Source organism: Homo sapiens, chromosome 6 (assembly GCF_000001405.40).
Source record: "Homo sapiens chromosome 6, GRCh38.p14 Primary Assembly".
Taxonomy (NCBI): domain Eukaryota; kingdom Metazoa; phylum Chordata; class Mammalia; order Primates; family Hominidae; genus Homo; species Homo sapiens.
Window position 1 is genome coordinate 42,831,427 of NC_000006.12, and position 14,287 is coordinate 42,845,713.

Here is a 14,287-nt window from a genome sequence, read left to right on the forward strand (position 1 = left end):
TTACTATACTGTTATGCAGATTAATTACTGTGGGCACTTGGTAAACCACATAAGGATTATGTTTCTGAAAAGAATCTCAAATGGTCATGAGCTTTAGTCCTTCACTGTCATCTGCTGATCCTTCGACGGCTCCATCATTTGGTTCCCACTCATTCTGAGCATGCTCCATAGTTCCAGCTCCTCCTCTTCTCATCTGGGAGGACCCATGCCATACCCTACTTTCGACCCCTCAGTCCTGCGTTTCCCCTGCCTTTCTCCTCCTCCACATTCAGAAGGATTCAAAAACTTCTGTTTATATACGTCAACATATTTCAAAATCTTTTTTTTTTTTTGAGACAGTCTCACTCTGTTGCCCAGGCTAGCATGCAGTGGCGAAATCTCAGCTCACTGCAGCCTCCGCCTCCCAGCCTCAAGTGATCCTTCCACCTCAGCCTCCCAAGTAGCCGGGAACACAGGTGCAAGCCACCATGCCCAACTAATTTTTGTATTTTTTTGATAGGCAGGGTTTCACCATGTCGCCCAGGCTGGTCTCGAACTCCTGGGCTCCAGTGATCTGCCCGCCTCGACCTCCCAAAGTGTTGGGATTGTAGGCATTCGCCACTGTGCTCAGCCAATATCAATCTTTTAAATATATATATCGGCCAGGAGCTGTGGTTCATGCCTGTAATCCCAGCACTTTGGGAGGCCAAGGTGGGCAGATTGCTTGAGGCCAGGAGTTCAAGACCAGCCTGGCTGACATGGTGAAACCCTGTCTCTACTAAAAATACAAAAATTAGCTGGGTGTGGTGACACACGCCTGTAGTCCCAGCTACTTAGGAGGCTGAGGCAGGAGAATCACTTGGACCTGGGAGGCAGAGGTTGCAGTGAGCCAAGATCATGCCACTGCACTCCTGCCTGGGCAACAGACAGAGTGAGACTCCATCTCAAAAAAGTATATATATTATATATATATGTATGTATGTATATATATATACATATATATGTATATATATAATATATTATGTATTTATATATATATTAATGTATATATCAATTTTTTAAACCATATACCTTTGACTTACTAATTTCACTAAGAATCCTAGGGAAACAAAGATTGCTTATGATTAAGGATGTTCAGTTTATTTGTTTTGGTTTCAAAGATATCAAAGGGGCGTGTGTGTGTGTGTGTGTGTGTGTGTGTGTTTGAAATAACATCAGACTTACAGAAAAGTTAAAGTTACAAGATTACTACAAAGAATTGTCATATACCCTTCACCAAGATTCCCGAAATCTTTTCTCTCCCTTTGTCTCTCTCTCTCATATACAAACACACACACACAAACATACACACACACACTTTTCAGAGTAAATTACAGACCTGATGCTTATGCCTCTTGACTCCTAATTACCTCAATGTGTATTTGTAACAGCAGGGGCATTCTCCTACATAACCACAGTACAGTAATGAACATTAAGAAATCAGCATTATTACAATACTATAACTAATCTGCAGACCTTACTCAGATTTAGTCAGTTCTCCCAGAAATGTCACTGAAAGCACAAGAGAAAACAAATTATTTGGTTTTGGTTTTGGTGTTTTGGTGTTTTTTCTTTAGAGATGGGATCTTGCTATGTTACCCAGGGTAGACTGTCTTTTTTTTTTTTTTTGAGATGGAGTCTCGCTCTGTTGCCCAGGCTGGAGTGCAGTAGCCCGATCTCAGCTCACTGCAAGCTCCGCCTCCCGGGTTCACGCCATTCTCCTGCCTCAGCCTCCCGAGTAGCTGGGACTACAGGCACCCGCCACCATGCCTGGCTAGTTTTTTGTATTTTTAGTAGAGACGGGGTTTCACCATGTTAGCCAGGTGACCTCCTGACCTCGTGATCCACCTGCTTCAGCCTCCCAAAGTGCTGGGATTACAGGCGTGAGCCACCGCGCCCGGCCCAGGCTAGACTCTTGAGCTCAAGCAATCCTCCCACCTCAGCCTCCTGAGTAGCTGGAACTACAGGCTCATGCCCCGGCATGCAGCTTTGTTTTGTTTTGTTTTTGTTTGTTTGTTTTTGAGACAGAGTCTCACTCTATTGTCCAGGCTAGAGTGCAGTGGTACGATCTCGGCTCACTGCAACCTCCACCTCCTGGGTTCAAGCAATTCTCCTGCCTCAGCCTCCCGAGTAGCTAGGATTATAGCTGCCTGCCACCATACCCTGCTAATTTTTGTATTTTTAGTACAGACAGGGTTTCTCCGTGTTGGCCAGGCTGGTCTCAAACTCCTGAACTCAGGTGATCTGCCCGCCTCAGCCTCCCAATTTGTTTTGGTTTTTATGGTCCAGGATCCACCCAGGATCACTATCTCATTTCATTGTCAGATTTTAAAATCTGCAACAGTTCCTCAGTCGTTCTTTGTCTTTCATGCTATTAATATTTTTGAAGAGTGCAAACCAATTATTATTATTATTGTTATTATTATGAGACGGAGTTTCGCTCTTTGTTGCCCAGGCTGGAGTGCAATGGTGCAATCTCAGCTCACTGCAACCTCTGCCTCGCAGGTTCAAGCCATTCTCCTGCCTCAGCCTCCCAAGTAGCTGGGATTACAGGCATGTACCACCACGCCCAGCTAATTTTGTATTTTTGGTAGAGACGTGGTTTCTCCATGTTGGCCAGGCTGGTCTCGAACTCCCGACCTCAGGTGATCTGCCTGATTCGGCCTCCCGGAGTGCTGGTATAGGCATGAGCCATGGCGCCCAGCAAAACCAATTATTTTCTATAATTTGGGTTTCTCTGATGTTTCCTCATGATTAGATTCAGTACATTTTTAACAGGATTGCCACAGAAGTGAGGTGTCCTCAGTGCTCAGGATGTGAATTTGTCCCATTGCTGGTGATCTCACCTTGAACACTTGCATAAGATGTTGTCCTTCAGGTTTCTCCACTGTTTTTCCTTTTGTCATTAATTAGAATCTTCCAGAAGATAATTTGAAACTCTGTAGGCATCCAGTTTCTCATCAAACTTGCACATGATAATTTAAGTTTCCATTGATGATTCCTGATTGAATCAGTTATTACAGAGCTATTACTATCATGGCCTCGAAATAGAGACTTTCTAATTCCTTCATTTGTCCTGTACTTACTAGTAGCATTCTAATTTAAGGAACAGCTTTTCCTTTTCTTCCCTTTACCTTTTTCTTTATGTGTGAATTCTTAGATTATTTGTAGTCAGTGGGTTATAAACTGACTATAATTGTATAAAATATATTGTATAAAATAATTATACAATAATTTATTTTAATGCTCAAGTCTACCCACATTTGGCAAGTGGGTGCCCCTCCAAATTGGCTGCTCATCCTTCTGACATGTTTCCATCATGCTTTGAGCACTTCCTTCAATTTCTGGCAAAACAAATGTTCTGTGTTTATCTTTTAATTTCCCTGCTCCTGCCCTACCATCAACTATTTTTTTAAGAAGGCTTGTTCCTTCTAGTGGAGAACAATATTTAGAAACCAAGATCTAAGCATTATGTGTGTTCATTGCTACTAAGGTCATTTCAGTTGGAAAATATGTATATTTATACACCCAACGCCTATAGGTATTTACATTTCTGTGAATCTATATTAAAAGCTGTGAGTTCATATTGATAGTTCCAATTCTAATCCATGACTACAGAATTCATCCAAGTCTCTCTCTTTTCCATATTTGTATATTTGTAACTCCCTTTCCTTCCCCTCTACCCTTTTTTCTTTTTTTTTTGAGTCAGAGTCTCACTCTACTGCCCAGGCTGGAGTGCAATGGCACGATATCTGCTCACTGCAACCTCTGCCTCCCGGGTTCAAGCTATTCGCCTGCCTCAGCCTCCCAAGTAGCTGGGATTACAGGCGTGCGCCACCACAACTGGCTAATTTTTATATTTTTAGTAGAGACAGGGTTTTACCATGTTGGCAAGGCTGGTCTCAAACTCCTGACCTCTGGTGATCCACCCACCTCAGCCTCCCAAAGTGCTGGGATTTCAGGCATGAGCCACCATGCCTGGCCTGTAACTCCCTTTTCTAACAGTGAGAAAGCCAGCTCCACCATGTTTATTTACTTACTTGTTCAATCCTAGAATATACAGAAAATAGTCTTAGAATGGCTAATCCATGTTTTAAACCATTGTAAAAAAAAAAAAAACTATTAATTAGACTTTACTATTGGTTTACAGTTCTGTGTTTAGCCTAAGTGTTTACAGTCAACATACTGTGTTCAAAAGTTACTTGGGGCTGGTTGCGGTGTCTCATGCCTGTAATCCCAGTACTTCCCAGCAAGCGAAGGGGGCAGATTGCTTGAGCTCAGGAGCTCCAGACCAGCCTAGGTAACATGGTGAAACACTGTCTCTACAAAAAATACAAAAATTAGGTGAGTGTGGTAGTGTGCACCTGTAGTCCCAGCTACTTGGGAGGCTGAGATGGACCATCTGAGTCCGGGAACGTCAAGGCTGCACTGAGGGTGATGGCACCACTGCGCTATAGCCTGGGTGACAGAGCGAGACCCTGTCTCAGAAAACAAAGAAACATAAAGAAACAAAAAATGTGCAGTTAATTAGTAAGAATGTAAAACAGTTCCAAAGTAGTCTAGAGTGAAAAACAAGTCTTTCCCCAACCTCCAGTTTCCTTCCAGAAGCCTCACTGTAAGTTCTTTGTATTCCCCCAGAGCTATCCTCTGCATAGACAAGCACGCACAGTGCATACACATACTTACCTGCAACACGCCATAGACGTTTTCACTTAATGATAGAACTTGAGGATCATTTTATATATGTATGTATTGATCAGCTTTATGTTTATTATAATTAATTAAGCAATCATCCATAGCATGGTCATTTCCTTTTCTTCTTTGCTATATAATAAATAATGCTTCAAAGGGAGGGGGGAGAAAAATACCTTTTTCTCTCTGACTCCCAAAAGTTTCAGTTATTCAAAGGTAAAAAGAAGCCTACACTAGCAGCTTCAAAGCAGCTGACTTTTTATGCCAAAAAGCATTGGGAACTAGGTCAGTTGCATTATTTCAGGTGTTCAAGTGTGTTTCCGCTATAAGTTTTCAGGAACAAGTGAAACCCCAGGTTTATTAAAATTAAGGAACATACCCTTGGGTACACAATTAGTTGAAATAGTAGTATTTAGGTCAGCTACCATTTAAATTCCCGGGACACCCAGAAACACAGAAATTATTTGCTTTCTGTGTAGTTTCTTTTTTTTTTTTTTTTTTTTGAGATGGAGTCTTGCTCTGTTGCCCAGGCTGGAGTGCAGTGGCACAATCTCAGCTCACTGCAACCTCCGCCTCCTGGGTTCAAGCAATTATCTTGCCTCAGGCTCCTGAGTAGCTGAGATTACAGGCGCCTGCCACCACACCCAGCTAATTTTTGTATTTTTAGTAGAGATGGGATTTCACCATGTTGGTCAGGCTGGTCTCAAACTCCTGACCTAGTGCTCCACCTGCCTCGGCCTCCCAGAGTGCTGGGATTACAGGTGTGAGACACTGTGCCTGGTCCTCTGTGTAGTTTCTATGTAATATTTCTTTTCTTTTTTTTTTTGAGATGGAGTCTCACTCTACCGCCCAGGCTGGAGTGCAATGGCACTATCTCGGCTCACTGCAAGCTCCGCCTCCCAGGTTCAAGCGATTCTCCTGCCTCAGCCTCCCGAGTAGCTGGGACTACAGGCGTGTGCCACCATGCCTGGCTAATTTTTTTGTATTTTTAGTAGAGACAGAGTTTTGCCATTTTGGCCAGGCTGGTCTCGAACTCCTGACCTCAGGTGATCTGCCTGCCTCGGCCTCCCAAAGTGCTGGGGTTACAGGTGTAAGCCACTGCACTCAGTTTTTCTGTGTAATATTTCTATATAAATTACTTTATAGAATGTTGTAACAAACACAAAAATATAATTACCGAAGGCTTTTGGCGTTTGTATATTTGTAGAAATGTAATTCAGCAGGTTTTGATACTATAAATGGTTAATGTTAGAGATAACTATGTTTTTAAATATAAATATAATATTGTTTTTAATATAGATAATACATTAACTTGGTTCAAAAAATCAAATGGGGCCGGGCATGTTGACTCACGCCTGTAATCGCAGCACTTTGGGAGGCCGAGGCAGGTGGATCACCTGAGGTCAGGAGTTCAAGACCAGCCTGACCAACAAGGTGAAACCCCATCTCTACTAAATATCCAAAAATTAGCCGGATGTGGTGGCAGGCGCCTGTAGTCCCAACTACTCGGGAGGCTGAGACAGGAGAATTGCTTGAACCTGGGAGGTGGAGGTTGCAGTGAGCTGAGATTGCGCCACTGCAATCCAGCCTGGGTGACAGAGCAAGACTCCATCTCAAAAAAAAAAAAAAGAAAAATCAAATGGTACAGAAAGATGTGTACTACAATGAAGAGTTTCCCTCCTCGTCTCGTTGCCCACCCACCCAGTTGCCATCAGGCAACCAGTGAAACCAGCTTTTATGGTGTGAGCTTAAGTTCCTTCCTCACTTTTGTATTGGGAAAACTTTCAAACCCATGGACAAATTGGAAGAGTACAGTGAATACATTGACGTGGTATCACCAGTCATTTCTGTTTTGCAGTATTTGCTTTATTGGTGCTAAATGTCTATAGTCTCTATGTGTATGTACACACACACATTTATACTTTATTTATATACTTTTTTCTCTTAACCATTTGAAAGTACTCTGCAAACATCACAACTTTTTATCCCTAAATACTTCAGCAGGTGTCTCCTAGGAACAAGGACCTTTTAATATAATTATATCAAATTTCTTCCATTTGGCCTAATAACGCCCTTTACAAAAACAGTTTTTCACTTTAGAATCCAGAGAGCACTGATTTCATTTAGTTGTCACATCTCTTTAGTCTGTAACAGCACTGATCAGTTGTCTTCTAGAGTGGCCTTGTCTGACTGGACTTGTCTGACTGGAAGTATGTTTCCTCATGACTCGGCTTCATCAGGCTAAATGGTTTGGGCAAGACACATGTTGGTTTGTCCCATTCGTGGTGATGCTGAGTGTGGGCACTTGGTTAAGTGGCCTCTCCCAGATTTCTCCGCAAGGGTCTCAAAGGTGTCTTGTTCCCTTTGTAAAGAAGAAATGATCTCCAGGATAGACCATGTGACTATTCTGTTTCTCAGCCTCTCACCCTTTGATGCCTCTCACCTGAATATTATATTGATAGTCACAAAATAATGATTTTATAATTGTAGTATCCTATCTATATTTATTGCCTGGGATTTTTCCAGAAAGAAGAGCTTTTTTGGCCAGGCACAGTGGCTCACACCTGTAATCCCTGCACTTTGGGAGGCAGAGGCGGGCAGATCACTTGAGGTCAGGAGTTTGAGACCAGCCAGGCCAACATGGCAAAACCCCATCTCTACTAAAAATACAAAAATTAGCCGGGTGTGGTGGTGCATGCCTGTAATCCCAGCTACTTGGGAGGCTGAGGCAGGAGAATCACTTGAACCTGGGAGGCAGAGGTTGCAGTGAGCTGAGATTGCGCCACTGCACTCCAGCCTGGGTGACAGAGCGAGACTCTGTCTCAAAAAAATAAATAACGGATTACCTAGGTCAGGAGTTCAAGACCAGCCTGGTCAACATGGCGAAACCCTGTCTCTACTAAAAATACAAAAATTAGCCAGGTGTGGTGGCGTGTGCCTATAGTCCCAGCTACTTGGGACGCTGAGGCAGGAGAATCACTTGAACTTGGGAGGCGGAGGTTACAGTGAGCTGAGATTGTGCCATTACACTGCAGCACTCCAGCCTGGGCAACAGAGTGAGACTCTGTCTCCAAAAAAAAGAGCTTTTTCTTCCTCTCCTTCCCATTTTTTTTGAGTAGCACTGTGAACTCATAGGGATCATTATTGTTGTTGTTAGGATTTTTAAAATTATTATTATTATTTTAAAAAATAGAGCTGGGGTCTTGCTATGTTACCCAGGCTGGCTCTAACTCCTGGGGTCAAGCGATCTTCCCACCTCAGCCTCCCAAAGTGCTAGGATTACAGATGTGACCTACCAGGCCCGGCCCAGGATTTTTTATGTTTGTTTTTTAGAACTTTTTATTATGAGGAATTTTAAACACAAAGTAGACAAAGCACTGTCATGAGCCCTCATACTCCCTCAGCTTGAGTATTTACCACTCATAGCTGCTCTTGTTTCATCCACATCCCCACCCCCTTTGCCCCTGCCTGGTATGATTTTGAAGCTCACCCATCATATCAGTTTATCTGTCATATTTTAACACATATCTCTAAGAGATCATGTATTCTTTCTGTATTTAATGTATTATTTCTGTATTTAATATATTGTAATTTATTGTGTTCCTCATTCTTTTTGATGCTTAAATTGTCCCAAATTTGATCAATGGAAGCCTGTTTGAGCTGGCTCCTATACTTTTGACATGTCTTCACCTCCTCTGAACACTTCCTTGCTTTGTGTCACAAGACACTGTAGGACTGCCTTAGATTACCTTGCCTCAAACCTGGAATCAGCCATTCCCGAAGGAGCCTGTGAACTAAGTCTTTTTGTGCAGAGAGTGATTTACAGGATTTACACTTTCTTGTAAGTGGATTAAAATTCAAAAGTCAGTTGCTAAGGAGACAATTTAAAATAATCTATCAAACAAAAGTAAAGAAATTAGTATAGGTCCAAATTTCTCTATTATTTATTTATTAGAGATGGGGTCTCGCTATGTTGTCCAAGCTGAACTCCTGGGTTCAAGTGATTCTCCCACCTCAGCCTTCCAAATAGGATTACAGGCACTAGCCATAACACTCAGACAAATCTCTTTATTTTTGTTCTTTTTTGTTTGTTTGTTTGTTTGTTTGTTTGTTTGTTTGTTTTTGAGACAGAGTCTCGCTCTATCACCCAGGCTGGAGTGCAGTGGTGCAATCTTGGCCCACTGCAACCTCTGCCTCCCGGGTTCAAGCTATTCTCCTGCCTCAGCCTCCCAAGTAGCTGAGAGTACAGGCATGTGCCACCACACCCGCTAATTTTTTGTATTTTTAGTAGAGACAGGGTTTCACCGTGTTAGCCAGGATGGTCTCGATCTCCTGACCTCGTGATCCGCCTGCCTCGGCCTCCCAAAGTGCTGAGATTACAGGCATGAGCCACCGCACCCTGCCTGTTTTTGTTTTTTGAGATGGAGTCTTGCTTTGTCACCCAGGCTGGAGTGCAGTGGTGCAATCTCAGTTCACTCCAACCTCCACCTCCCAGTTCAAGCAATTCTCCTGCCTCAGCACCCCCTAGTAGCTGGGATTACAGGCGCCTGCCACCATGCCTGGCTAAGTTTTGTATTTTTAGTAGAGACCGCACCTGGCCCCAAATCTCTTTGGATCACTAAAGGATTTCGTAGATTCAAATTTTATTGAGAGCAGGCAGGGCGCAGTGGCTCACACCTGTAATCCCAGCACTTTGGGAGGCCGAAGCGGGTGGATCACTTGAGGTCAGGAGTTCAAGACTAGCGTGGCTAACATGGTGAAACCTCGTCTCTACTAAAAATACAAAAATTAACCAGGTGTGGTGGGGCATGCCTGTATAATACCACCTACTCAGGAGGCTGAGGCACAAGATAGCTTTAACCCAGGAGGCAGAAGTTGCAGTGGGCCGAGATCATACCACTGCACTCCAGCCTAGGCGACAGAGCAAGACTCAATCTTTAAAAAAAAAAAAAAAAAAAAAAAAATTGAAAGCGGCTGAGCCCATATCACCTATATAGTACCTATCATGCTTTGGATGTGAGAGTGCCTGAATGATCACTCTTGAATATTTTTTTTTTTTTTTTTTTTTTTTGAGATGGGGTCTCACTTTGTCGCCAGGCTGGAGTGCAGTGGCACGATCTTGGCTCACTGCAACCTCCACCTCCCGGGTTCAAGCGATTCTCCTGCCTCAGCCTCCTGAGTAGCTGGGACTACAGGCGTGCACCACCACACCTGGCTAATTTTGTATTTTTTAGTAGAGATGGGGTTTCACCATATTGGCCAGGCTGGTCTCGAACTCCTGACCTTGTGATCCTCCCGTCTCACCCTCCCAAAGTGCTGGGATTACAGGCGTGAGCCACGCTGCCCTGCCAATCGCTCTGAATTTTTGCTGAAGTTTCTAGTCCCGCTCTGCCCCTCCCTACTTCCCTATCCCCCTTGTAGCTCAGCCTGCCTTCCTTATGTGGAACCGTTGTATTTTCAGACGTCTGGACTTAAAAATCTAGATGTTCTTGTTTTCTTCTTCTCCTTCTATGCCTTTAATGAATTACCAAATCCAATAAATGATTTGAAAATGTCTCCTATCCATTCTCTCCAATAACAATGAAAATACTAATCATATTACTAACGAGGACAGTGCTGGGGCTCCACACACTATTTCTAATTACGTTGGAGCTACATGTAGCATTATTGTTCCCACGTCACAGCAGAGAATATGGGGGTTCAGAGCTTGGACAAATTACTCATAAAGGCTAACTTTACCTGTTAGTTATCTATACCACACTGCTTCCCATTTTTCTCCTTTTCTACATCCATACCCCAAGGTAGGCTTTAAGAGAGACTAGAATATAACAGAAAAACAGGAGGTGAATCAGCAGTTCCAGTTCAGTCATAGGTACCACTCTGCCAGCGAGTGGTTTCTGAGCTAAGCTTGTATCTTAAACTCTCTGAGCCCTAGTTTTGTCTTTTCTAAAATGAGGAACTCTAGCTGTGCAATAGAATTACCTGGGGAGCTTTTTAAAACTGTGGATGCCTGAGCCTCACCCACATAAATTCTGACTTAAATAGTCTGGAGAAAGGGCTTTAGGCATCAGCATTTTTCAAAAGCTCCCCAAGTGATTTTAAAGTGCAGCCAGGATACAGAAGTACTGTGCTACCTGATTTCCAAAGCCCATTGCAACCCTAACGCCTCCGAATTAGACAGCTGCAACAATTATCTAGGTGATTAATCTGCTTTCGTCCTCTTCCTAAAGAAGGCAGATTTCCACATTAATCCTCCTAAAATATTTGAACCAAATCATCAGGGAGCTTCTCATTCCCACGGGAGAAAGCACAAATCTCCGACCTGGCAGTCAGGGTTCTCTAGTCAGAAACCCTCCACTTCCACCAGGCTGATCCCCTGTTTTTCCCACAAATAGGCCAGACTCATTGTGTGTTCAGGCCTTTGTTGATGGGTATACATTGAATGTCCTTTCCTTCCCTGTTTAAATTCTTCCCCTCCTTCAAGGTCCCACCCAAAGCCCCTAGAAAAAATGAAGGTTTTTCAGTCCCTTCACTGATCTCTTCCTGCCTATTATACTTTTTATTTGTACACCCCACTAGGTACATAACCACTTACTTTGTTAAATGTTTTCTACATTGATTCATTCATCAAACAGTATTTGAGTACCTACCACATGCCAGCCCCAGACATATAACAATGTATCCCAGACAGACAGATAAGCCAACAGTCAGAACACAGTATTTTTTTTTTTTTTTTAGATGGAGTCTTGCTCTGTCACCCAGGCTGGAGTGCAGTGGCACAGTCTTGGCTCACTGCAAGCTCCGCCTCCCAGGTTCATGCCATTCTCCTGCCTCAGCCTCCCGAGTAGCTGGGACTACAGGCGCCCACCATCACACCCATTTAATTTTTTGTATTTTTTTAGTAGAGACGGGGTTTTACCATGTTAGCCAGGCTGGTCTCGAACTCCTGACCTCGTGATCTGCCTGCCTCGGCCTCCCAAAGTGCTGGGATTACAGACGTGAGCCACTGCGCCCAGGCAACACAGTATTTTAAGCATGTGCTAGGAGTAGTCCAGAGTGCGGGCTCCGAAAAGGAGCCTCTAACCCAGTTGGGATGGTCAGGGAAGGTTTCCTGAGGTGGTGGTCTCTGAGAGTTACCCAGGCAGAGAGGATCTGGGTGAAGAATGTTCCATGAAATAGAAACAGCAAGTGCAGAGCCTGGAGAGAAAAGAGACCATGGTGCTGTGGGGAAAGGAAAACACGTTTAGGTGAGGCGAGTAGGGTGTTAGGTGGGAAAGGCGAGCACAAACCATGTAGGTCTTGGATGCCATGATAAGAGCCAGTGTTGTAATCTAAGCATGAAGTAGACCTACACTAGCAGTATAGGAAAGATGACGAGACATGAATGGATTTGAGACAACTAGGTTAGATAGAACTTGTGATTGATTGGGCATAGTGGAAGGATAAGGATGACTTACAGGTTTCTGACAGTGACACACAGGTTCACTGAGTTAGAAAAATGGGGAGAGATTTGGATTTGAAGGGAAGTTACTGAGTTTAGGGTATGTTCGTCAAGTTTGAGGTACCTGTAGGACAGCCAAATTATATGATACACGGCTATATATGCTGAAGCTGAACACTGAAATATGAGCTGAAATGGGATTGATCAGCATATAAATTTCTTCTTTTTTTTTTTTTTTTTTGAGACGGAGTCTCACTCTGTCACCCAGGCGAGTGCAATAGCACGATCTCGGCTCACTGCAACCTCCTTCTCCCTGGTTGAAGTGATTCTCCTGCCTCAGCCTCCTGAGTAGCTGGGATTACAGGTGCGCGTCACCATGCCGGCTAATTTTTTTTTTTTTTTTTTTAGTAGAGACGGGGTTTCATCGTGTTGGTCAGGCTGGTCTCGAACTCCTGACCTTGTGATCCGCCCGCCTCGGCCTCCTAAAGTGCTGGGATTACAGACGTGAGCCACCGCGCCTGGCCAGCATATAAATTTCAACTGAAGCAATGGGAGTGGAGGAAATGGACCAAGGAGAGCATATAGATAGAGTAGAAAACAGCCAGAGGAGAACCCCACAGCACCTCAACATTTAGGCTAAGAAAAGAGGATGGGCTTGGCACGGTGGCTCACGCCTGTAATCCCAGCACTGGGAGGCCGAGGCAGGCGGATCACGAGGTCAGGAGATGAAGACCATTCTGGCTAACCCGGTGAAACCCCATCTCTACTAAACATACAAAAAATTAGCCAGGAGTGGTGGCGGGCACCTGTAGTCCCAGCTACTCGGGAGGCTGAGGCAGGAGAATGGCGTGAACCCGGGAGGCGGAGCTTGCAGTGAGCCGAGATCGCGCCACTGCACTCCAGCGTGGGCTACAGAGCAAGACTCCATCTCAAAAAAAAAAAAAAAAAAAAAAAAAAAAAAAAAAAAAGAGGGTGTTGCAGAAAGAAGATCCACAGAGTGATGCACACTGAGAAGGAAGGTAAGGAGTGGGCGTTCTGATAGATTTAACAACTGGGAGGCTGCTGGTTGGTATGACTTGTTTCTGTGGAATGGTAGGTGCAGAAGCCAGATGGCAACAGACTGAGGAGAGAGCAGGAGGTGTGCTCATGAGCATAGACAGCTGTCAGATAAATGAAAGTAACTGAAGAGCAATAGCTATGAGGATGTGTGGGATTAAGGGAATTATTTTTGTAGTGAAAGAAGAGCTTTTTTCACAGCTGATGAGAAGGAGAAAGACATTCATTCTAGAGCATTGCTAGGATTCTTTGTAGACAGAGGAGGGACACCTATTGTAGCAAGAGAAGGTGGGAAAGGGTAAGATTGTAGCTTTCGTGGTAGAAAGTTATCTAGCTTATAGGTTTGCTTATAATAAAATAGCATTCAAAAGAGCTGACTAAAGGGAAAAAAAGGATTACTGGACAGCTGTGGGGTTGGATTCCAGTTGAGGCTGGGCACCATAATTATAACACACTGATCTATCATGTTTCTGTGAGCCTGTGTGTTTCTTGGATGGTAAATTTGAGATAAAGACTGTTTGGTATCCTTCGGCTGCCTTCTCTGTTTTTTGTTTTTTGGGTGTTTTTTTTTTTTTTTTTTTTTTTTTTTTTTTTTTTTTTTTTTTTTTTTTTTTTAGACAGAGTTTCAGTCGTCACCCAGGCTGGAGTGCAATGGTGCGATCTCGGCTCACTGTAACCTCCGACTCCCGGGTTCAAGCGATTCTCCTGTCTCAGCCTCCGGAGGGATTACAAGCGTGAGCCACAGCGCCCAGCCTGCCTTCTCTGTGATTACCACAGTGCTGTGTACACAGTGGTTACTCAAATGGCTCATCAAGGGACTTTGGATTGCAGCTATCAGAAACTCCCCGTAACATGTTTGGGAGATGTGTTTTGTGAATGAGCCCAAGTCCAGGAAGTATAGTGTAGCACCTTATGAGGGCAAGAATTCAGGTTCTCTGCTGCTCTCTGGGCCTCTTCACGACAGCATGGCCTTTTAGCTCTCCTTCATTGTTCTCCCTCCTTGTTCTCCTGGACTAAAATGATTGCCCCAGGCTATCTTTACATTATTCCAAACCAAGCATTTAACAGCCACTGGCAGGT

General features: G+C 43.8%; 1 protein-coding gene across 10 annotated transcripts in view, besides 1 other annotated feature; it reads left to right on the forward strand.

Moving 5' to 3' along the window:
• BICRAL (BICRA like chromatin remodeling complex associated protein) overlaps window positions 1-14,287 on the forward strand; it is a 122,218-nt gene that overhangs the window by 85,088 nt on the left and 22,843 nt on the right. The gene's annotated exons all lie outside the window — the stretch shown is intronic.
• Window positions 10,472-10,672: a silencer, noted in NCBI's record as "peak5810 fragment used in MPRA reporter construct". NCBI's record gives its function as "represses an SCP1 promoter by STARR-seq MPRAs in K562 erythroleukemia cells {active_cell/tissue: K562}" and the evidence as "EXISTENCE:reporter gene assay evidence [ECO:0000049][PMID:32103011]".